Raw genomic sequence first — 24,305 nt, 5'->3', positions numbered from 1 at the left:
CTATACACCTATCAGGATCATCTGAAAGCTTCCCCAGGTCTGCCTTGATCTGCTTTGAATCAGAGAGGGAGAAGGGGACATGTACCTGGGTTGAGCCAAATTCCCCTCCCCCTATAGGTTGAAGGGAACATAACCGATAGCCCGGGGGTTTTTATGGTCCTTTGGAGATTTCTTTGCTTGTTTCCTTCTGGGTGGGGGAGATTAGAGTAGGCTTATCATTAATAGGAAGGGAAGCTATAGGGAGGCTAGGATATGGAGGTAAGCTGAGAGGTCCTCCTGTGGGATGTAAATTGCAAGCTTTGCATAGTTGTGTATTCTCCTTCAATGAAAAGAAACCTTGGACATAAGGGATTTCACTCCATTTGCCTTCCCTCTTACAGAAAAGGTCAAACTGCAGGATAGTATTGTAATTTATACTTCCCTCAGGTGGCCATTTTTCCCCATCAGAGACAGAATATTGGGGCCGTAAGTGCAGAAAAAAAGGAGCCGCCCCTTTTTCAGGGTTTGCGGGTCAAATTGGTCCCAATGGCTTAGGATGCATTTCAAGGGTGAGCCTGTTGGTGTCTGAGTGTTTCCCATCTGAAAGACAAAACCACCTGGGGTTTTGGTTTGTTTGTTTCCCCCACTCCCCGCCCAAGAACCCACAATGGTCCATAGACCCTGCTGATCAGAATAGTTGCACTCACTGACACAGCAGCAGAAACACCTCTTCCCCAAGAACCTGCAGTGGTCCCTGGACCCTGCTGATCAGAATAGTTGCGCTCATTGAAGCAGCAGCAGAAACAGTAGTTTTCCTCCTAGACTACAAGGAGGACCAAGGAAGGTCAGATTTAGTGGCCCTTACTGATGCATTCTCAAAAACCTGCACACTTGCCTGTCCTCCTAGACCACAAAAAGGACCGAGAAAAATTGGATTTAGTGGCCTTTACCGATGCATTCTCGAAAACCTGTTAGAGTCCTAAGCATTCTCCTGTTAGTATTGGGACTTTACCCCATCCTATAAAGATGTTATGCCCCAAAAATTAAGTAGAGGGCCATACCCTGAGTGAGAGAAGCGATCTCCAGGGTTGGAAGAGTGATGCCTTTTGTCCTCTCTTAAGTAGGAAGGATAACATTCCTGAGGCTCCCCATATCCTAGCTTCAGGAATAGCTTTTGTTAGGCCTGCTAGTCTGAGGAGGGATCCTAAAATTCCAGATAAGATAGTCCCCCTGCTGATGGGGCTTTAGGCAAAAATTATGTCTTTCTGATTGGTGAGCCCGGGTGCCTAAAGAAGGGAGCAGAGTCCTGAAGTTTACACTAGAAATCATTCTTATAGGAGTAACTAGAAAAGCACCAGAGACAAGGAGTGGTTTTTGGAAGCACTCTCGGAGAAGAGAAATGAGAGGAAGATTGTCTGACAAGCATTAGGACCCAGGAGGCAAGGGTCAGGATAGATAGGATAGATGGGCAAGTCTCACTTGGGCGACATGACTTTGAGAGTTCCACTCATGGCCGCAGGGTGAACCAACTTGTTGTCAGGACCCTGGAGCTGCATGGCTTTCCTCTCTGTCGACCCTCGGCTCAGCCCAGAAGTACAGGAAAAACCTGGTTCCAGGCAAACCAACACTCCCAAATGCAAAGAGTCAGGGGTTGTTAGAGAGCCCTTTCCCAGAAAACCTGACACCTGTGTCTAGTGCGGCAGCCATGCTAGTCACTTTTAACTGGCTGACAGGGGCCCGGTATATAGCCCCGAATTCTAAGGAAAAATAAGACAGAATAGCAAGTGAAAGGGATCCAATGGTACTCACCACTTGGCAATAGGTGATAGTCCCTTCGTGGTTGCCAAAATGTGTCCAGAATTTATTCCTTCTGGTGGGTTCTTGGTCTCGCTGACTTCAAGAATGAAGCCACGCACGCTTGTGGTGAGTGTTACAGCTCTTAAAGATGGTGTGTCTGGAGTTTGTTCCTTCAGATGTTAATATGTGTCTGGAGTTTCTTCTCTACGTTAACGAAATTCAATACTGTTGAGTGACTTCCAGACAAATACAAGCAAACCGAAATCTGGAAAAAACCAAAGATGTCTGTAATGCTTAATAAGAAGGTCCAGGGCTGGAATTTTACATTTAGCAGCTCTATCATTTGTATAAACACTGGTTCTTGGTCTCACTGACTTCAAGAATGAAGCCGCAGACCCTCACGGTGAGTGTTACAGCTCTTAAAGATGGTGTGTCTGGAGTTTGTTCCTTCCGATTTTCAGATATGTCTGGAGTTTCTTCCTTCCAGTGGGTTCGTGGTCTCACTGACTTCAGGAATGAAGCTGCAGACCCTCTCAGTGAGTGTTATAGCTCATAAAGGTAGTGCAGACCCAAAGAGTGAGCAGCAGCAAGATTTATTGTGGAGAGCGAAAGAACAAAGCTTCCACAGCATGGAAAGGGACCCAAGCAGGTTGCTGCTGCTGGCTCAGGTGGCCAGCTTTTATTCTGTTATTTGGCCCCACCCACATCCTGCTGATTGGTCCATTTTGCAGAGTGCTGATTTGTCCATTTTACAGAGTGCTGATTGGTCCATTTTGCAGAGTGCTGATTTGTCCATTTTACAGAGTGCTGATTGGTCCATTTTACAGAGTGCTGATTGGTGCATTTACAATCCTTTAGCTAAACACAGAGAGATGATTGGTGCATTTACAATCCTTTTGCTAGACAGAAAAGTTCTCGAAGTCCCCACCTGCCTCAGAAGGCCAGCTGGCTTCACCTCTCACTATGGGGGCCCTCTGTCAGGGCTGGAACCCTACATTTCCCTCTGCATTACCTTAGCAAAGGTTTTCCATGAGGCCTTTGCCTCTGCAGTAGACTTCTGCCTGCTTATTTAGGCATTTATATACATCCTCTGAAATTTAGGTGGAGGCTCCCAAAGCTCAACTCTTACCTTCTGTGCACCTGCAGGCCCAACACTACATGGAAGTTGCCAAGGCTTAGGATTTGCACCCTCTGAAGCATCAACGTGAGCTGTATGTTGCCCCTTTTAGCCATGGCTAGAGCTGGAGCTGCTGGGATGCAGGACACCCAGTCCTGAGACTACACAAAGCAGCTGAGCTCTGGGCCTGGCCCACAAAACAATTTTTCTCCTCTAGGCCTCTGGGCCTGTGATATGAGAAGATGCCTTGAAGATCTCTGAAATGCCTTGGAGCCATTTTCCCCATTGTCTGGTTGATTAACATTTGGCTTTTCATTATTTATGCAAATGTATGCATCTGGCTTTAATTCCTCTCTCAGGAAATGGGTTTTTCTTTTCTACCACATAGTTAGGCTGAATATTTTCCAAACTGTTATGCTCTGCTTGCCCTTTAAAAATAAGTTCCACTTTCAATCCATCTCTTTGTAAGCTCATATAACTGTATGTTTTCAGGAAAAAGCAGGACACATCTTGAATGCTTTGCTGCTTAGAAATTTCTTCTGCCAGATACCCTAAATCAGCTCTCTCAAGTTCAAATTTCCAAAGATCTCTAAGGCAGAGGCAAAATGCTGCCAATCTCTTTGCTAAAGCATAGCAAGAGTGACCTATGCTCCAGTTCCCAATAAGTTTCTTATCTCTGTCTGAGACCACCTCAGCCTGAACTTCCATATCACTATCAACATTTTGTTCAAAACCATTAAACAAGTCTGTAGGAAGTTACAAACTTTCCCACATCTTCCTGTCTTCTTCTGAGCCCTCCAAACTGTTCCAATCTCTGTGTGTTACCAAGTTCCACATCTCCAGGTTATCTTTATAGTAGTGCTGCATTCCTGGTACCAATTGTCTGCATTAGTCCATTCTGACACTGCTGTACAGACACTGCCCTGAGACTAATTTATAAAGAAAAGAAATTTAATTGACTCACAGTTTCACGTGGCTTGGCAGGCCTCAGGAAACTTACAATCATGGTGGAAAGTGAAGAGGAAGCAAGGCACATTTTACATGGTAGCAGAAAAGAGTGAGAATGCAGGGGAAACTGCCACTTTTAAAATCATCAGATCTGGTGAGAACTGCCTCACTACCATGAGAACAGCATGGGAGAAAGCACCCTGATGATCCAATCACCTCCCACTATGTACCTCCCTCGACATGTTGGGATTACAATTTGAGATGAGATTTGGGTGGGAACACAAACCTAAACCATATCAGGTAGTTCTTTATAGCAATGTGAAAATGGACTAACACAATTTCTTAAATACTGAGCCAGAAAAATTAATCGGAAACAAGGTACTTACACAGAATCTTATCTTTGTGCATGTGTGTTTGTGTGTGTGTGTGTGTGTGTGTGTGTGTGTGGGTGGCCTTGTTGAAATGTCTTGTATAAAGTGCTAGAAGTTTCTATATTATTTAAAATACTTTGTCTTATGGGTATAAAGTATTATGCTCCATTCATAAATGAAATATTTGATGTTATTATAATATTATACATTTTGTGTTTGTGTGTTTGTCTGCAGATATACACACACTTGAGGTATATCTAGTAGGACTGAGAGTTAATAATTTTATTTTAATTTTAAGTTATTTAGCTTTAAATATACACATATGTACATATAGTGACTTCTATAGTAAGCAGAACTCTGCCAAAGAAATGCACACTATTTTATATCATTTGAGATCTTAAGTATCATTTTTCAGTTCCTATTATTATCAAGACAGTCCAAGGTGATGAAATTACATAAAACCAAGTGATATAGCCATATTAATTTCCAATAAAAATGACAACATTAAATAAAAAGCTCTACACATATGCTTCAGATATTTGTGAAAGTTGTCTGCTTTTAAAAAAATCAATAGCAGAATATTTATTTCACTCTTACTAATTTACTAGAAGGTAGGATGTTTTCCCGGAGACAATAAGATTGGAATGAAACAAGGACATGAACAAGCTGTATTCCTGAAGGGAGTGACAAATTAACTCAATGTTTTATTGCTGAACTGAATTAATTGTAGGCTAAGAAAAAAGAGAGAAGAGTCAGGGGAAGAGACATTTCTGAAAACAATCACAGTACCTTCAACTTACCTTTATTGATAAGTTACTTCAACAGAAAGGAAGTAGAACAGAGTATATGTAATAAACCCCAGCTGAATAATGAAGATTGCTAATTGGATGCTATGTTTTTTTAAACTTGGTTTTATAGTTTCATAACATGTACATGGTATAGAAAAGTCTATTTCTAAGCATAAATGTAACCATGTGTGTGTGTGTGCGTGTGTAATTAATTAATAATTAGGCAAAAAATACAATACAATAAACCTTTTTATTGGTTCTAAATGGCCACTGAAAACATCTGAGAAAAATTTATGACTTCTAAGGTTAGAGACGGACTTCCAATTTTAGGTACAACATGAAAAGTATTTAGAAGCCATCTTTCCCATCCATACAAGAAATTAAGATGAAAACAAATACAAAAATCTCTGAAAACCAATGACTTTTCTTAGACCCATTAGAGAACTAAAGTTGCAGGGAAAACTCCCCACCATGAAATCTTGGTAGATAAATTCAAAGAGTTAAAGTCAAGATCTGCAAAACTGTAGCAGAAGTTGAGGGAGCCATTAACAGGTAGAAATACTGATGCGGTAATTAAATTAATGGCTGGAGGTTGAATGTGAACCAGCCTGACAGTGAGAAAATTCTGAGGCCACAGTGTTAGCCGGTCCCCACCCTTCCATGGGCTTTATCTCCAGGAACATTATCAGGTTTTCCAGATTAAGATGAAAGCATGATTGATCCCTTTATAGCCCTGTTAGGGGAAGGCAAGATTAATGTTTGTGAAATATTTTCAGAGCTTTCTCCATAAGCAAAGACCTGCTCTCTAGGGCAAAAGATTTTATCAGAGCTTTATTCCAGCTGAGGAAAGGGCATTGGTTCTACCCCAGCCCTCTGTAGCCATTCTGTCTCACCAGTGGAGGAGGAAAAAGTAGCTATACCACTGATGAAACAGTTTGGAAGTCACAATCCCAAGAGAAAGCCCACTAAAAACAAAGATATAAGCATGAGGTTATAGAATGTTTCCTGACCTTTGTCCTTAACATGACACAAACAGGGCTTCAGTATAACAACAGTGGATTACAATTAAATGAACTGCAAGACTCTCTGGAGGAATGTGTTGGAAAACTCAAAGTCAATAGTGGAAGCACAAACAAGAATGCTAAAGGAGTTTGAAGCCTCTAGAACCTATGGCTTCAATAAACATTTGAATACAGCTCAACTTCTAGTAAGATTAATATAAATCTCACATGCAAGGCCTGTTTAGTTTAATTCCTACTACCTGATACAATGTGTCCAGCTTTCAAAAAAGAAAAAATTATAAGGCATGCCAACTGGCAAGACAACAAGACATTTTCTGAAAAGAAAAGCAAGATGTAGAAATATATACAAATATGACACAGTTGCTGGAATTATCTGAATGGGAATTAAAAATAATTGTAATAAATATATTAAGGGCTCACTGGAAATGGTAAACAACGTGCATTAACAGATGGGTAATGTAAGCACAGATGTGATAACTCAAAAGGTTAGTGAAGTCTAATATGTCTGCTTGCATAACTTTTTAAACTCTAAATTAGTTGTTCAAATTGCATGATGATGTCCTATGATTAAAATATAAAATAAGATATACCGATAAAGAGATTGCCTGCCATTTTATAGTATTTTAGAGCTTATAATGCATTGGTACTTAAATTATTGTATTAAGTCCTAATCACAGATCTGGGAAGTAGAAAAGCAGGCATTATTATTATTTTTGTACAGAGTAGCATTTAGAAGCTGTATCAGTCTGCTTAAAACTAAGTTCGGCTGTGGCAACAAATGGCATCCTAATCTTAGTGGCTTACATCAACACAAACTTATTTTTCACTTAGTTTACAGGTTTATCAAATGTGTGGCTTTGACTCTTTATTCTAAGACATTAGCTGAAGGAGTATGCAGGATATTGCTTTTGTCCTGCAGACAAAAAGAACACTAACAGATGCATGTGATGGTTCTTAAGGCTCTTCTAAGAAATAGCATATGCCATTTTTTCTCATTTTGCATTGACAAAATCAAGTCGCAAGACCAAGTCGTTTTCACTGTGGCACTCTTAATCTAACCACAGTACAGGGCTTACTAGGAAAAAAAAAAAAACAAGAGTCAAGGGCTACAATTCTTTAGACAATAATACACTCTGCCACAGATACAAGGGCTTATCCAAGGCTTGTGGTGACATCAGTTAATTATAAATTCTTGATTCCACATATGATGTTGTCATAATTTATCATCTGGAAAAGAAAAATTAAAATGGAAGAATGTTGGAACATAAAATGAAATAATTATGATTTTAATATCATTAAATCAGTATGTAAAAGCTTTGAGTGATACATCAATTAAAAATAGTATCAGCTACATTTTTTTTTTATTTTGCTGAGCCAAATAGGAGTTTTCTTTTCTTGCATAGTAAGAATTTGTAAGTAGGTAGTCCTAAGTCTGATGCAGCGGTCTATGATGACATAAAAAACACAGACTTTTTCAAGCTTTCTTAAAGAATGACTCTTATCCTTATGCCTGTATGCTCACAGTCTCAAATGACTACCAAATTGCCATGAACATGTCTATATTTAATGCAGAAAGAAGAGAAAATCAATGGACTAAAGTTTTATGCCAAATGAAAATTTTTAATGTTCTTGTCTGTATTTTAATAAGCATTGTAGTTCACCATAGATGCAAAAACATTTCATCTTCTTCTTAGGAATTTTATTTTGTAAAACTGTTAATTTTAAATGAGAGAGTTTTGAATAAGAAAACGTACATAATCAATATTTGTAAGTGAAGATCAGAAAGAAGATAAAAGAAACGTGAGGGAACCAAGTAGCACAAAATAAAATGATATATATAAAATGATAGTTATACAATAAGTAATTATGTTGGATATGGGAAAGTGATCTTATAAAAGAAAAATATCCAGATAACTTTTTTAAAGAAAAAGAATAAATGAAATTTTACTTGATACTATTCACAGTGTACTCATTAACAACATAATTATATATAATAAAGGATAAAATAAAAAGTCAAAAACCTTTTGACTTTGGCAAAATTTAATTAAAAATTCATAGATGTAAGTATGACAATACCAAATAAAATAGACTTACACATAGAAGCAATTATAGATATAATTAATGTCACTTCAACTTTGTTGATTAAATTAAAATACAATAATAATATTGTACATACATGTAAATTATATATACAATAATAATTTTAGATTTGTATGTACCTTATAAATAGCCCCAGAATATTAACAATAAAGATTAGTGAAACTAGGGGAAAAACTAAGAAAAACAAAATGATAATGGTAGATTTTTACATACTTTTTCAGCAATTGGTAGAACAAGCCTATAAAATCAATAATAACAAAGGAAATTAGAACAAATCGGCTAACAAAACAAAAATGCCCAGCAAAATAGAGAAAGTGACCATCCAAATATAAAAACAATATGTGAAGAAGAGAGAATTGCAGATCAGGATGAAAATTTTGAATTTTCAATAAACATTGCTAGGAAAATTGCTTTTCCTTGTGGGAAAAAAAATGGCTGTTCATACAGAAAACTGAATTCTTTTCTCAGATCATACAATTCCATTTCAATTCAAGACCAAAATATCAATGGAGAACCTTAAAAACTGAAAACTGATATGACTATCTTCATGTTCTTCAATAGAGAAGAAACTCCTCAAGATACTACAAGTGAAATAATTTTAATAGAGAAAGGCCGATAAATTTAATCATATTAAAGTTAAGAAATTCTGTTCCATTAAATGCCATGTAAAATTTTTAAAAAGATAAGTCATGCATTTAGAAAGAATATTTTCAAAACACATAGTTAGCTGATTAAAATATGCATAACTTCTATGGATCAGTAAGAAAAAAACAACTAACTCAATAGAAAATAAAAGAGTAAAACGTTCCAACAAGCTCTTCACAAAACAGAAAATCCAAGTGGTCTATAAACATATGGAAAGCTGTGCTAATATATTAGTAACCAGGTATATACAAAGTAAAATCACCATAAGATACTGCTGTGTTGCCAATAGTTTAGCAAAAATAAATTTAACAGAAATGTAAAATAAGCAGTGTGAGATTATAGATCAACAGGAACTTTTATCCATGGCTTTTTGAGGTGTAAATTTGTATACCACTATGGAAAACACTAAGGCAACAGCTAATAAAGGTAAATATGGACATGTCTTCTTACTCAGTGATTTCATTCCTAGGCGTGCACTCTTAGAGATATTTTGTACATTTGTGCCATGAGAAATGTACAAAGCCTTCATAGTAATCTAAATGTCAGTCAGTAGAAGATTGTAAGATATGTTCAAAACATGGGATTTCACAGAACAACATGTATGAATTCTATAGATATAGCATTAAGTAAAATAATCAGATGTGAGTTGTATGTATGGAGCTCAGAAACTGGTACTATTAAATAATGTCATTTTAGAAATACTATTTTTACAAAAGCTATGACAGCGGTTGCCTTGCTTTGGAATTAAGACACATACTTCGGAAGGAGTAGACAGTGGGTTTCTAAGGTATTAGCAAAATTGCAAACCTGGCTTATTATTATCTGAATGTTTACTATATAATAGATTATAAAACTGTACTCACAGATTTTACACACTTTTTGACATTTATGAGACATTTTCACAATAAACATGAAGTTACAAACAACATTGTATAATCTAAATTATAGTGGAGAATCATTAACTATTTTATATACATTATAAGTGACATTAGGAAAACAATATTGACCTAGAACTTGATTAAACAGGCTTCAACTCATTCTTCTATCACTGCCTAGATTTGGACTTTGGGAACACTCGACTTCTCATGTATGAAAGAGACATAGGATTGTTATCAAGGTTAAATGAGATAATACAAAGTGCTTATATTTTGTTATCTTCCCAAACACACTTGTTTTTATTTTTAACATTTGCAGATGGTACCACTATTTCCTTCCCGATTTTCAGACCAGATATTGATTAGTCAGAATTTTCCTTATTTTACCTCATTCTTCAGTTTAATTTTGTCCCCAATTCCAATGCATTCTACCTCCTAAAGTTTCTATAAACATTTATTTTTCCTACATATATCACTCCTTATGTTCAGACATCTGTCTTCTCTAACCTGAATTTATTTCTATGGCTTTAATTTTGGTATTCTTGGCTCAGGTTTTATTTTCTTTCTGTTCTTTTATTTTTCTAACTCACAGGTAAGCAGAGTGAACGTTCCCAAATTTGCATAGATGTCCATTAATTTGCTTCTTTAAACTCTTAATGACTGATTATCATATAGCTGATAAAACTCACCTTCCATTCAGTTTATTTTTTAATGAAATTATTCATGTATCCCTTCATTCATCCTTCCATTTATCTGTTCACATATCTATCCATCTACAAAATTTTTGTTTACATAGTATTGTGAAGTATATTGTATTTTGGGAGTGAAACTATTTAGGCTATCATAGGCCAATAATGAATATATTCATTAGTCTATAATATCCCTGAAATTGTGTAAGGATTCATTTCCTCTTTTTAGCACGTTTTTCCTCCAGAGTATTGAATTATGTGTATCTGTTGAAACCCACTTTGCCTCTGTTATGTGCCCTCTGTTTCCATAGTCATTCTTACTGGTAAACACCTTTTCAAAGATGAGTTCTTTCTGATCTCATCTTCTGTAATATGCCCCTTTGATTGCCTCAGATAAGGTTAACCATATTGCCTCCTATATTCCTTTAGAGATTTCAATCAATAAATCCATTTTATGTTTGTTTGGCTAGACGATCACAAGCTATTGGGAACAGAAACTGGCAAACACATACTCATATTTCCACAAAGTATAGAAAGAGCTAGAATACCTGAGGCATTCGGTAGAAAATATGCACCACAGCAGAATGGCTGAAAGCATGCTCTTAAGTAATCAAATTACATGTGCTAAACAACATATATCTAAGGTAGAGCTATATGCTTAGTAATTTAGATGATTATTAAATTTTAATTTTCTTTTTTCTCACTTTTAGACAATGCACTTACCTTACAAAAACTTATTTTCAAGCCTTTTACATTTTTCTACTACTCTCCTTTGAGGATTGTGCAGCCTACTCTATTTTCTATGAAGTCTGGCACATTTTAGAAACTCAATAAATATTGGAATAATAGTCATATATAGTGAGCTATAGTCCCTGTTATTTTTCTTTCTCTCTCCAAGACAACTTTATAAGCAGGAACTTCGGGGAGAATAATTTTATTATCAATGACAGTTGAGCTTACACTTTCTAAAACTTTTCTATTTTCCCTGTCTGTGGAATTTATGAGATACCAGATGTGTTTAGGAAAATAATTTGAAGTAACACTCTGGCCTTAATATGGGAAGTACTAAAACCTCTAATTGTATTTCAGGTAGTAGATCAATTCGACCTTCCATAATAGGAACCTGAAATATAGAAGGCATTTGTGTACTGTTAGTGTTCAAACTTTTACACATTCCCAATATTATCTCTACTTAAAGTGCCTAAATATAGTCACATCATGATAAAACAGAGCCTTAATTCAGACTCTTTCAAATTCATACTCTTAGATCCTAACTCTAGCAACCAATAAGGTTATACTATCTGATCTGGAAACACTGTGAGCTATGGATTATCTTTTCCAACAAGCAGAGATCTCTGAATGCAGTCCATTTGTCACTCACGCATGAAATTTCAGGGTTGAACAGATTGGACAAAAATCACAATTTTTTTTGTCTATGACATTTTCTTATGAGTATGTATAAAAGTAACCAGGAGAAGAGCAGAGTTTTAAAAAGTGCTTTCTATATTGGTGTTGATCTCTTCCATAGAATAAAATCATGTCATTACCCAGTCCTCAACAAGTGAATTTTTATTTGATTCTTAGTGTGCTTTTTCTTAAGTTCTATTTAGAAAGTAGAAATAACTTTCTATTGATATCCTACCCATAGCATAGTCATTCAATGCTGCTTTATTTCAACAACATATTTGGAGAAAAAAGACAGCTTGTCTTTCCATCGTGTGCATTTGAAGATTAAAACACTGGATCATTTAAATGCCCTGTGGTGAGAGATTAAAAAAAAATGTAATGCAACCTGCTTTGAATTAGCTATCCACCTAAAACATATTTATTTTCCCTGTGAATGAAGGTAGGCCTCATTTCCTCATTTTACCTTGATGATTATGAACTTTTTACACAACCAAATTTTCTACTGATTATAATTTGATGAAGAAAATGTCAGAAAAATTAAATCAAATCTAAATGGCATTCCTTTGGAAAAATACACATATAAATAAGTCCCCATGTCTCCCCACCCCCTGCTCTGCCTTTACTGGGTTGCTAAATCCAGGTTTCTGTAATAAAATGTAATGTTACTGAAACCATCCTTTATAGATATGGAGAAGATCACCTATTCTTTGTGTCTTTCTAAAGCCTTTGCAAAAACATTTGTCACTGTCAAAACTACGAATATGCATGCTTTAGTTGTGGATGAGCTGCAGCACAGCTATTCACCATCGTTATAAATCAGCCGCTCCTTAGAATATCATTTCTTGTTGCCACATGAAAGGTTAGCAGAAAGGAAAAGTCTTCTCCCTACCATTTCTTACTTCATTTTGAAATCTGTTCCCTCAGGTGACATTTATAAACAAAACTGCGGTTCTGTTAATGCTTGTGAAAAGTATTAACTGTCAGCATATCTATACCAGTTGCTCCATCTGTTTCCCTTAATTCAATTTGTCTTTATTGTTCCCATCCTTTGATAATCACCTGTGTCATCTAAAATATATAAATTGAATCATAGATTCTAGTGTGGTTCTTTCTTTGGAGTCTTTATTAAAAGCAGAGGTAAAAGTATAAATAACTTAATAGTTTTACTTTGATTTCCTCAGTTGATGAAATTCCAAAAAAAAATTATAGACTCTCTTGTTTATATGGTGTGATTTCATAAATTTTGCTGCATCCCTGAATCCCAAATCTATATGTGACAAATGATTTAAAGGTGCATTATATTCAAAAGAGTTATTTAAAGAGGTGCAGATTATGACTAATTACATCATTTGAAGAAAATTAATGTATTCACCAAATTCAGAGTGTTGGTATTCAGATAGCAAGAATGCAAATTAGGCTCTCGGCATTTAAATTCCACATGAAAATAATAATTTAAGGCATACATTATGAATGCACATAGCCCTACCTTATACTGTTTGGGTTAGTTTACAGGAAATAAGATTGTTGTATCTAGTAAGGCAAAAGTTAGTACATAAAATATAAACTTCTATCCACTTGGGATAATAGGCTGAGAATTGTATGTATATTATTACATTTAAATCTCATTTAAACCTCCTCTGATTCCATTCTGTAAGAAATGGTGCTTAAACTCTATGGATATTATTTTGGCAAACAATTCAGTAGCATATGTTAGTCAAATTTGCATGCTTTAGATCACTTTCCTTATTCATACTCACAGTTATCCTTCTAACTTGTCCCCACTTCCTTTCTTAACAACAACGAAAAATACAGAAGTAGAACTTGAAATTAAAATTAAACATTTCTCTCTAAATAATTTCTTAAATACCAATATATAGTATTTTTTCAGACTAATGATAACATAGAAATATGGGACCATGTATTTATAAAGCTATATCTTATTATATATACATCTTATTCTAGTGTTATTTTGTATGGTACCACAATTACTTATGTAGTTCAAGGATCTGTACATTTCTTGGTCTACTGGATTACTCTTTATAATATAATTTTTTAATTATATGATTTCAAAAGTTCACCAGTGCAACATCCTTATTTAACAATGCATCTTTCTCATCAGATGCAACCATATGGAGGCTTACTATACAATTGTTTTATGTCCACATGGTTAGGGCTAGGGAAGTACTTTTCAGTACATTGTTACTCTTGTTATATATATATAGTGTATGTGTGTGTTTGTATGTTATAGAAACCTTACTGAATTGTGGGAAAAGCTTTAAATTATTTTTCCACTAAATTTCAAGGGGACATCTACTTTACATATTGGAACATTTATTTCCTAGTCTTTCATAGCACTCTTTTCTATTATCTGTACCAAATTTATCCCTATATTTGTTTTACAATCATTCCTCTGGCATAGCCACTTCACTTCCTTTGCTTTATAGAACAATTCTTCCTATCAGAAAAATTTGTCTGATCAACTTTAGTTTACAGTAAATTTTCTTCTAAATACTTGTGGAGATTTTTTTCCAGTTAGAATATAGCCTTTGAAAATATTATTTTAATACTTATTTTATAATTGTCATGGTACTCAACAGTCTTAATAAATACATAAATATTGATTTGTTAAAAAAGATTACATATATTAATAGACTATATATTTATATATAGTATATATATATAGTGTATGCATTATAAACATATATATTTATATATATATAAATATATTGGAGTGCAGTGACAGGATGATCACAGCTCATTACAGCCGCAACCTTCTGGGCTCAAGCAATCCTCTCACCTCAGCCTCCCAAGAATCTGGGACTAAAGATGCTCACCACCACGCCCAGCTAATGTATGCATTTTTCTGTAGAGATGAAGTTCTGCCATATTTCCCAGGCTGCTCTCAAACGCCTAAGCTCAAAGACTCTTCCTGACTAGGCTTCCCAAGTGCTGGAATACATGAGCCACCATGCCCATTGATATGGTCTGGCTCTGTGTCTCCACCCAAATTCTCATCTTCAATTGTAATCCAAATTGTAATCCCCCTGTGTTAGAGGAGGGACATCGTGGGAGGTGATTAGATCATGGGAATGGTTTCTCAATGCTATTCTCATGAAAATGAGGGAAATTTCTCTAGATCTAATGGTTTCTGCACTTATTTCTCCTGCCGTCATGTGAAAATGGATGTGTTTGCTTCCCCTTCCACCATGATTATAAGTTATCTGAGGCCTCCCAAGCCATGCAGAACCATGAGTCAATTAAACCTCTTTCCTTTATAAATTACCTAGTCTCAGGTATTTCTTCATAGTAATGGGAGAACACAATAATACAGCAAATTGGTATTGGGCGTCAGGTACTTCTGTAAAGATAACCAAAATTGTGGAAGTGACTTTGGAACTGGATAACAGGCAGAGGGTGGAACAGTATGGAGGGCTCAGGAGAAGACAGGAAGATGTGGGAAAGTTTAGAACTTCCTAGATACTTCTTGGTTTTCACCAAAATTCTGACAGTGATATGGACAATGAAGTGCAGGCTGAGGTGGACTGAGATGGAGATGAGGAGCTTATTAAGACCTGGAGCAAAAGTGACACTTGCTATGCTTTAGCAAAGGGACTGGTGGCATTTTGCCTCTGCCCTAGAGATTTGTGGAACATTGAACTTCAGAGAACTGATTTAGGGTACCTGGCAGAAGACATTTCTAAGCAGCAAAGTGTTCAAGAGGTGATGGAGAATAAAACTTGGAAAATTTGCAACCTGATGATGCGATAGAAAGGAAAAACCTGTTTTCTGAGGAGAAATTCAAGCCAGCTGCAGAAATTTGCATAGGTAACGAGGATCCAAATGTTAATCACCAAAACAATAAGGAAAATGTCTCCAGGACTTGTCAGTGGCATTCATGGAAGCCCCTGTCATCACAGGCTCTGAGGCCTAAAAGAGAAAAATTGATTCATGGGCTTGGCCCAGGGCCTTGCTGTTTGTGCAGTCTCATGACTTGGTACCCTGTGTCCCAGCCATGGCTAAAAGGAACCAACATGCAGCTCAGGGCCATTGCTTTAGAGGGTGTATGCCCCAAGCCTCGGCCACTTCCATGTGGTGCTGGGCCGGCCGGTGCACACAAATCAAGAATTGAGGTTTGGGACCTCTGCCTAGATTTCAGAGGATGTATGGAAACTTCTGGATGTCCAGGAAAAAGTTTGCTGCAGGGGCGGAGACCTTGTAGAGAACTTCTGCTAGAGCAGTGAGGAAGGGTAATGTGGAGTTGAAGCCCCATCACACAGTCCCCAATGGGCACCGCCTAGAGGTGCTGTGAGAAGAGGGCCACCATCTTCAAGGCCCCAGAATGATAGATCCACCGACAGCTTACACAATTTGCCAGGAAAAACCACATTCAACACCAGACTGTGAAAACAACCAGGAGGAGAATTGCACCCTGCAAAGCCACAGGAGCGGAGCTTCCCAAGGCCATGGGAACCCACCTCTTGCATCAGCATGACATGTATGTGAGACATGGAGTCAAAAGAAATCATTTCAGAGCTTAAGATTTGACTGCCCTGTTGGATTTCAGGCTTGCATGGGGCCTGTGCCTTTGTCTGAGCCAATTTCTCTTATGTGGAGTGGCTGTATTTACCCAATTTCACTGTACCCCCATTGTATCTAGGAAGAAACTAACTTGCTTTTAACTTTACAGGCTTATAGGCAGGAAGGGCTTATCTTGTCTCTGATGAGACTATGGACTTGGACTTTTGGGTTAATGCTAAAATGAGTTAAGACTGCGGAACTGTTGGGAAGGCATAATTGTGTTTTGAAATGTGAGGAAAATGAGGCTTGGGTGGGGCCAGGGGCAGAATGATGTGATTTGGCTGTGTCCCCACTCAAATCTCATTTGAATTTTAATCCAAATTTTAATCCCCATGTATTGTGGGAAGGATATCATGGGAGGTGATTAGATCATGGGGGCAGAACCCCCATGCTGTTCTCCTGATGATGAGTGAGTTGCCACAACATCTGACTGTTTTATGAGGGGCTCTTCTCCCCTTTGCTCTGGATTTCTCTCTCGTGCTGTCATGTGAAGAAGGACATATTTGCTTCCTCTTCCACCATGATTGTAAGTTTCCTGAGGCCTCCTCTGCCATATGGAACCGTGACTCAACTGATTCTCTTTTCTTTATAAATTATCCAGTCTCAGGTATTTCTTCATAGCAGCATCAGAGCAGACTAGTACACCCAGCCAAATATTTTAATAGTACCAATATTCTGCATTCATGTCATATAAAATTAGTTGTTGAAATTATAGAGACTGAAAAGTTTTACTAACTCATATAGAAAAATCAAATGCATTTTTATTTATTTTACCTAATAGCCACTGTGTTCACAGTGACCTTGAAATATAGTTTTAAATTTTTAATAAGACAAGTAACTAAGTCAACTTCAAATGTGACTTTGCATTGTAAGATGTAATGTCAGATTCTGGAGAAAAATTCTTAGTTCCACATTAAGCACTTTTTATAACCAATTAGAAAACATGTTTTCTTCTATTTGCTTAATATTTTTCATAAATTGTAAGCAATAAAGTTTCAGTTAGAGCAGAACACATTGGGAGGCGAGATATCTCCCTATGCACTAATTAGATATTCCTTTTAGATTGGGCAAAGTGCAAAGACTTGATAGCTGTAAAGCAAAGTATAGATAAAGAATGGAGCATTTCCTATTTAGCAAGAAAATTTGCTTGACTGATATCTCTAGTTTGATCTGAATCCTGTTCTTCAACTCCATACTGCCTTTTCCTCTACCAATTTATATGTGAAATGCAATGGGCAAACTGCTTTCTTTTTTGATCATCATCTTCCCATATCTGTTACCCTTTATCCCTCTGTTCAATGAAGACAATCTAAAAAGCCAGCAAAATTTGCATTTTAAAGACCAGTGAAATTATTTTTAAAGATCAAATGTATTTAAACAGTAAACACTTTTTTTTCTTTTGTCTTTAAACACTGAGACTCCTAACAACCAATTGTTTAGATCCTGGTCTCTTCATGTAGGTCTCTTCTCTCTCTCTCTTTCTCTCCTTTTTTCTTTCTTTTCTCTCTTTGTCTGTGCCTCCCACTCCTTCTCCCCTCCCTTCCATTCCTATCTTTCCATTCCAAATACTTTCGAGAAAATTAGAGATACATTTTCAATGGTAAGTTAGTTTAAAAATAAAATCATATTTAGTGGTGGAAAACTCATCTATTGTCAAATGTAAAAGAGAAAATTAATTCATTTATAATAACATTAATTGAAAATATGCTTCAAAGTAAGAGAGTAAAACAATTCCCCACCTAAACTATTTGGTGTTCAAACATTTAAATTAGAGATAGATATACAGAGGAGTGATTAGCATTTTTATTTTGGTGAGCGGAATAATAACGTCTTTTGTTAAACATGATCAAATTACCTGTTAAAAATGTTTTCTTAAATTATGTATGCATATACATATAAATTTCCATATAGTCTTTTTTTCTCAGTTTGGTTACATGTGTTTTAGACAATGAATATACTTCTCTCCTTCCACAGGAGCTAAAGCTAATAATAATCTGTCACAAGGCATCATTCATTTGGGAGTGACATATCTGTCTGTTCAGCAGAGTAAAACTTTATGAATAATTCACTTTCCTTTGACTAGGTATTTCTGATTCTGTGTTGTATTAACTTTCAGGATATATTTTTGCACTCCGTAGAGAATGTGACCTACAGGATCCACTAGCAAAAGAAATCTGACTGTTAGAGGTTAAAGGAACAGTAAAGATCTAGTTCCACTTTTGAATCCTGCAGATGGGAAATTTGAAACTTGGAGAGTTAGTGGTTTTCTCCAAGGTCACATCAAGACAGAAGTCAAGCCAGGATAAAAATCAAGGGAAAAACAGTGACATGGTGGGAGAAGTGTTCCCAAACTCTGAATGCAAGGTAACGTATATAACAAATAAGAAGTTTTTAAGAAATACCTAAGAAAAAAGTGAACATGATTTACATTATATCATATAAAATAGTGGGAATAAAAATATACAAATTAATTGATAAAATAAGATATACCAGTATGAAAGAATATAAAGAGATATCTGTTAGAAAAATTAATAAGATTTATATATAGAAATAAAACTGTAAATAACACTGGAGGTAGAGGGGCCTATAAACAGAAGAGGGGAAGAAATTAGTCATCTTTCAAAAACCCAAGAGTAATGGATTATTTTGTTATTTTCTCTTGTTTATTTGATTCACCCAAACTGATACATTGCCTCTTACATAAACTCTATCAATTTAATTCTGGACTTGAATTTTTTCTCTAGGTCTCTCAATTTTGGTTTGTTTGCTTTCTCTCCCTTTCCTTTTTCTTGGTTCATTATTCTTCCTGGAAAAGTTTTTGAGTTAATCATATAGTAATTTACAGCATTTGGGGGATAGATACAAGATGTTGAAGCTTCTGAGATATTTGTCTTGTTTTCTGATTATTTTATACAAGCTAATATTACATATAGTTTTTTGTTTTTTGTTTTGTTTTTTTTTTGAGACAGAGTCTCGCTCTGTCGCCCAGGCTGGAGTGCAGTGGTACCATCTTGGCTCACTGCAAGCTCTGCCTCCTGGGTTCACGCCATTCTTCTGCCTACATATACTATTTTTAATAATATATTCTTGCTTATGTATATATAGTATCTTCTCCTTTGCTGTGTGGATTTAAATAAAAATTTTTAAACTTTTTTTTCCTTGTTTTGTTTTAGTTTCTTCTGTTTTCCTTTTTGTTTCTCCTGTTGACTTACTTTGCTTTCTGTTATGTTAGATCTTCTAACAGTTATTAGGCTGGTTTCTTCCAGCTGTGAAACTTCCTTTTTCTCTGATTGGACTCTGATTTTTCCTTTGCCCCATCATCATGGGGTATTAGAGGGAGACTAGAAGTCTAAGGCAGACTTGGCTATTCCTTTCAGCCCCATCCTGGCACTGTCTCATCACGGTGGCTACACCAGCTGGTCCTGGTTTCCATTTTCTTTTCTTTTCTTCACTTGTAGGAACCATTCTTATTCTGCTCTTTCTTAGAAACAAGCAGCCACCAGATAGTGCTTCTTCCTTGGAGATCTGAGTCCCATTTCCATACAGCCTCTTCTCTGAACTCTTGAGTGTACATGTGCTGGGCAACAGCCCCCCTTAGACATCTACACAGTACTTCCTCCAAAATTCTGGATTCTCATCACAACATCTTTCTTCTCTTTTTACTCCATCCTTCTAATTGGTAGCTCTTTTTGCAATTGCCACATGTGTTACCTCAGTGTTTTCTTTTTCCTATTCCAGTACTTAAAAAATAAAATGAAACAAAACAAAAACCTTCTATTACCCATTTCTTGGTTCCTTGTTTTTTGATACAAACTTGACTGATACCAGACCTTTCCATGTGGGTCCTCATTCTTACTTATTCATTAACATTTTAAAATTAAGAACTAAGCTACCTAGTCAGAACTGCGTCAACAGATAGCTTCATCACTATTTAAGACCCCGTTTCACTGGGGCACTTCAAGGTCTTTATACCAAGGTACTTTCTCTGGTCTGTTTGGTCCTTTTAGAGATAACTCTTCTATTACTTGCCTGAGGGATAACTGCCAGCTATTTGGTGTGCAAAGTTGAAGAGGACGAAGATAGAGCCACGTTTTCTATATGTGAACTCCCAAGTAACACCACCGTTTTCTGATCTTTACCTCAACCTTATCCTCTATAGTATCCAGTACTTCTAAGTTCTGTACTTCCCTGGCATTCAGAGAACAATTTGGGCCATTTGTCAATTTACTCACTCTGTAAAACTTCTGCCTGTAGCTTTCCCCATGGAGAGCATGGCTGTTTCACATATAATTTGCTCTTTGGTAAAATTGCTGAATTATCATATTTCTCTATGCCCCATCTATATTTTTCCATTTTACCGATTTGTACATTTTAATTGGCTATTGTCTTAAACTGTTCCTTTCATTTGGAAAATTCAAAATCTTTCCTCCTTTTTAAAGATATCAAAAGTTAGATGAAAATAAAGGCATTCTCCTCTTATAATAGTGGAAATGGGAGTATAAAATACATAATATTTTGAAGGGCAATGTGGCAATATAAGTCCCCAGTCTCAACAGAAAAACTTTTTAAACACAATTTTTCTCTACTTTACCATAAGGAAAACTTTGAAATACATAAACATTCATATATAAGAATGCCCACCTGTAATAATAAAATGTGTAAAACAATCAAAGTACTCTAACATTGGTGGTTAGATTGTATTTAAGCCAGCTCATAGAAATAAAAGCATTTTTCAAAAGTTAAAAAAAAATTTTCTGTAAGTTTATGAGAAGTAAAATCACTATATATAATTCCTAATTTAGTAAAATAAAAATAATCATTTATGCACATGCATAGAAAATAGACTGAAGCAAAATGAAATAAAATATTAATAGTGGCGGAAATACATATTATGTTAATTTCATTTATAAATATTTATTTTCTTTTTTTGTTTTCTTGTTTTTTTTCTTTTTTTTTTGTTTTGACACAGTGTCTCACTCTCTCCCAGGCTGGAGTGCAGTGACACAACCATGGCTCACTGCAGCCTCCACCTCCACCATGCCTGACTAATTTTTTATTTTTTGTAGAGACATGATTTTTGCCATGTTTCCCAGGCTGCTCTCAAGCTACTAAGCTCAAGCGATCTGCCCACCTTGGCCTCCCAAAGTTCTGTGCTTACAGGCGTGAGCCACCACACCCAGCTAATTTTCTTTATTTTAAATATAAAACTTATATAGATTAGTTTTATATTAAGATATGTATTTAAATAGAAAACTAATATACATTAGTTATGTAATTAATTATAGATTTTAAATATTTTGAAAAGCATCTTATATTTAATCATGTGAAACACTTTTCACTGGAAATATTCAACTAGGATTGTTTATCGCAGAAAATAATAGCTAAAATATTGATTCTGTCCAGTGGTCCAACCTAATGTTTGGCTTCACCTTCTGGATATAAAATGTTATTTTAATAATAATTATACAATAATAAGGGAAAAAGAATTGTCATGGTGTAGGTAAAGGCTTGCTAATAATTAACAGCTATTTGACATTTTGCATCCATTCTTACAACAGTTATGAAAGAAGTGCTATTTCTGTTCATTTGATAGTTCCGAAAATTGGAAGTTTTACAACACACTAAGTGATGCTTCTCAGTTACATTGCGTGTAAGGAGCTGAAATAGAATTAGCTGAATTTAAATAGCTCCACTTGAGGACCTACGATCTCAGGACAGCAGCAGGTAATAAAATGGACTTTGGTGTCTCAGTATATCTCAAGAGCATGGACTCTTTCCATCTTATTGCACATGGCATACAATGCACAGTGATTCAGAACTGCTGATTTCTACTTATAATCTTAATTCATATAAAACTTTAGTGACAAGACTGGAAAAACAATCAGGCTTTGTAGGAATTGCCTTTAATTATAACATTTTATTTGGGGAATAGTTATTAAGTGTTAGACAATAACATTTTTTTAAAGTCTTAATATGAAGAATTAAATTTAAAGGGGAGAATTTACTGCCCATGAGACCTGTTCACAAGGACCAGTTAAAAAGTTACTAGAAGTTCAATATTGACATTTAAAATAATCTTTAAATGTTACAAAACAACCATTAGGAACAATATTTTTAGTATTACAACACAAAATATGTTTATGACATAAAAGTAAATGTAAGACAAAAATTTAAAAAAATTATTTGTTTATGATTATGTTGATGAAAATAATATAATTCACAAGGAAAAAATCAAACATATAGGAAAAATGCTATATATTTAATGGTGCCTGTATTTGGACAATGAGACAATAGGTAATTTTTTCTCAAATTTGTATGTTATTTAATAATATTTATCAATGCATTTCTATGTTTACATTTAAATTAAAAAATAGAAATAGGGCCAGGTGTGGTAGCTCACACCTGTAATTCTAGCACTTTGAGAGACAGAGGCGGGGGTGATCACCTGAGGTCAAGAGTTCCAGACTACCCTGGCCAACATGGTGAAAGCCCGGCTCTACTATAAATACAAAAATCAGCCAGACATGGTAGTGCTTTCCTGTAGTCCCAGCTGCTTGGAAGGCTGAGGCAGGAGAATCGCCTGAACCTGGGAGGTGGAGACTGCAGTTAGCTGAGATCACGCCACTGTACTCCAGCCTGGGCAACAGAGTGAGACTTTGTCTCAAATAATAATAATAATAGAAATAGGTTTCATGGCATTAAATATTTAACAAAATAAGACATATAAAATAGACTAAAATAGGTATATTTAAAACATTTTCAAAGGCAAGAAAAAGAAAGAATACATTTCCAGAAAAATATGTTTTGGTGTAGGGGCTAATATTAAGTAGAGAAGATAAGGTCAATGGCAGGTCCAGCTATGAGAACTAAACTGACTTCTACAACATGATTCAAAAATGTAAGTCTTTGTTTTTGTTGTTGTTGTTGTTGTTGTTGTTGTTGTTGTTGTTGTTGTTGTTTAGAAAGAGTGTCTTGTTCTGTTACCCAGGCTGGAGTGTAGAGGTGTGGTCATAGCTCACTCTAACCTCACCTCGAACTTCTGGGCTCAAGTGATTCTCTTTTCTCAGCCACAGGCTATCGGGGGAACCAGCCCCAAATATTTCAACGTAGGTTCTTTCTATTTTCCCTAAGTGTCGGCTGGTCTGAGAAATAAAGAGAAAGAGTACAAAGAAACGAATTTTGCAGCTGGGCCTCCAGGGGTGACATCACATATTGATCACATATTGGTAGGACCATGATGACCCTGAGCCACAAAACCGGCAAGTTTTTATTAGGGATTTTAAAAGGGGAGGGGGTGTAAGGACAGGGAGTAAGTCACAAAGAACACATGCTCCAAAAGGCAATAAAGATCACAAGGCAAAGGCAAAATTAGAATTACTGAGGAGGGTCTATGTCCCACTGTGCACATATTGTCTTGATAAACATCTTAACAGGAAACAGGGTTTGAGACCAGAGAACCGGTCTGACTAGAATTTACCAGGCTGGAATTTCCCAATCCTAGTAAGCCTGAGGGTACTGCAGACCAGGGCGTATTTCAATCCTTATCTCAACTGCATAATACAGACACTCCCAGAGCAGCTATTTATAGCCCTTCCCCCCAGGAATGCATTCCTTCCCCAGGGTATTCCGCGCTGCGAAAAGAATTCAGTGATATCCTCTTACTTGCACGTCTGTTTATAAGCTCTCTCCAAGAAGAAAAATGTGGCTGTATTCTCCCCGACCCCTGAGGCAGTCAGATCTTATGGTTATCTTACTTTGTTCCCTGAAAATTGCTGTTCTTCCATTTTTTTCAAGGTGTACTGATTTCTTATTGTTCAAACACATGTGTTTTACAATCTGTTTATACAACAGTGGTCCTGAGGTGACGTACATTCTCAGCTTATGAAGATAACGGGATTAAGAGATTAAAGTAAAGACAGGCATAAGAAATTATAAGATTATTATTAGGGAAGTGATAAATGCACATGAAATCTTCACAATTTATGTTCA

At 36.0% G+C, this 24,305-nt stretch overlaps 2 annotated features.

Annotated features, from left to right (window-relative positions):
* Window positions 212-850: an enhancer, noted in NCBI's record as "OCT4-NANOG hESC enhancer chr11:38134504-38135142 (GRCh37/hg19 assembly coordinates)". NCBI's record gives its function as "activates a minimal SCP1, AML or CMV promoter by ChIP-STARR-seq in primed H9 embryonic stem cells {active_cell/tissue: H9 hESC(primed)}" and the evidence as "EXISTENCE:reporter gene assay evidence [ECO:0000049][PMID:30033119]".
* Window positions 1,929-3,128: an enhancer, noted in NCBI's record as "BRD4-independent group 4 enhancer chr11:38132226-38133425 (GRCh37/hg19 assembly coordinates)". NCBI's record gives its function as "activates an origin of replication core promoter dependent on BRD2, P300/CBP, MED14 and CDK7 cofactors, and independent of BRD4, by STARR-seq in HCT116 cells {active_cell/tissue: HCT116}" and the evidence as "EXISTENCE:reporter gene assay evidence [ECO:0000049][PMID:35650434]".

This window comes from Homo sapiens, chromosome 11 (genome assembly GCF_000001405.40).
Source record: "Homo sapiens chromosome 11, GRCh38.p14 Primary Assembly".
Classification (NCBI taxonomy): Eukaryota; Metazoa; Chordata; class Mammalia; order Primates; family Hominidae; genus Homo; species Homo sapiens.
Note: the sequence above shows the minus strand (reverse complement) of the source record. Positions and strands in the feature narration are given on the sequence as shown.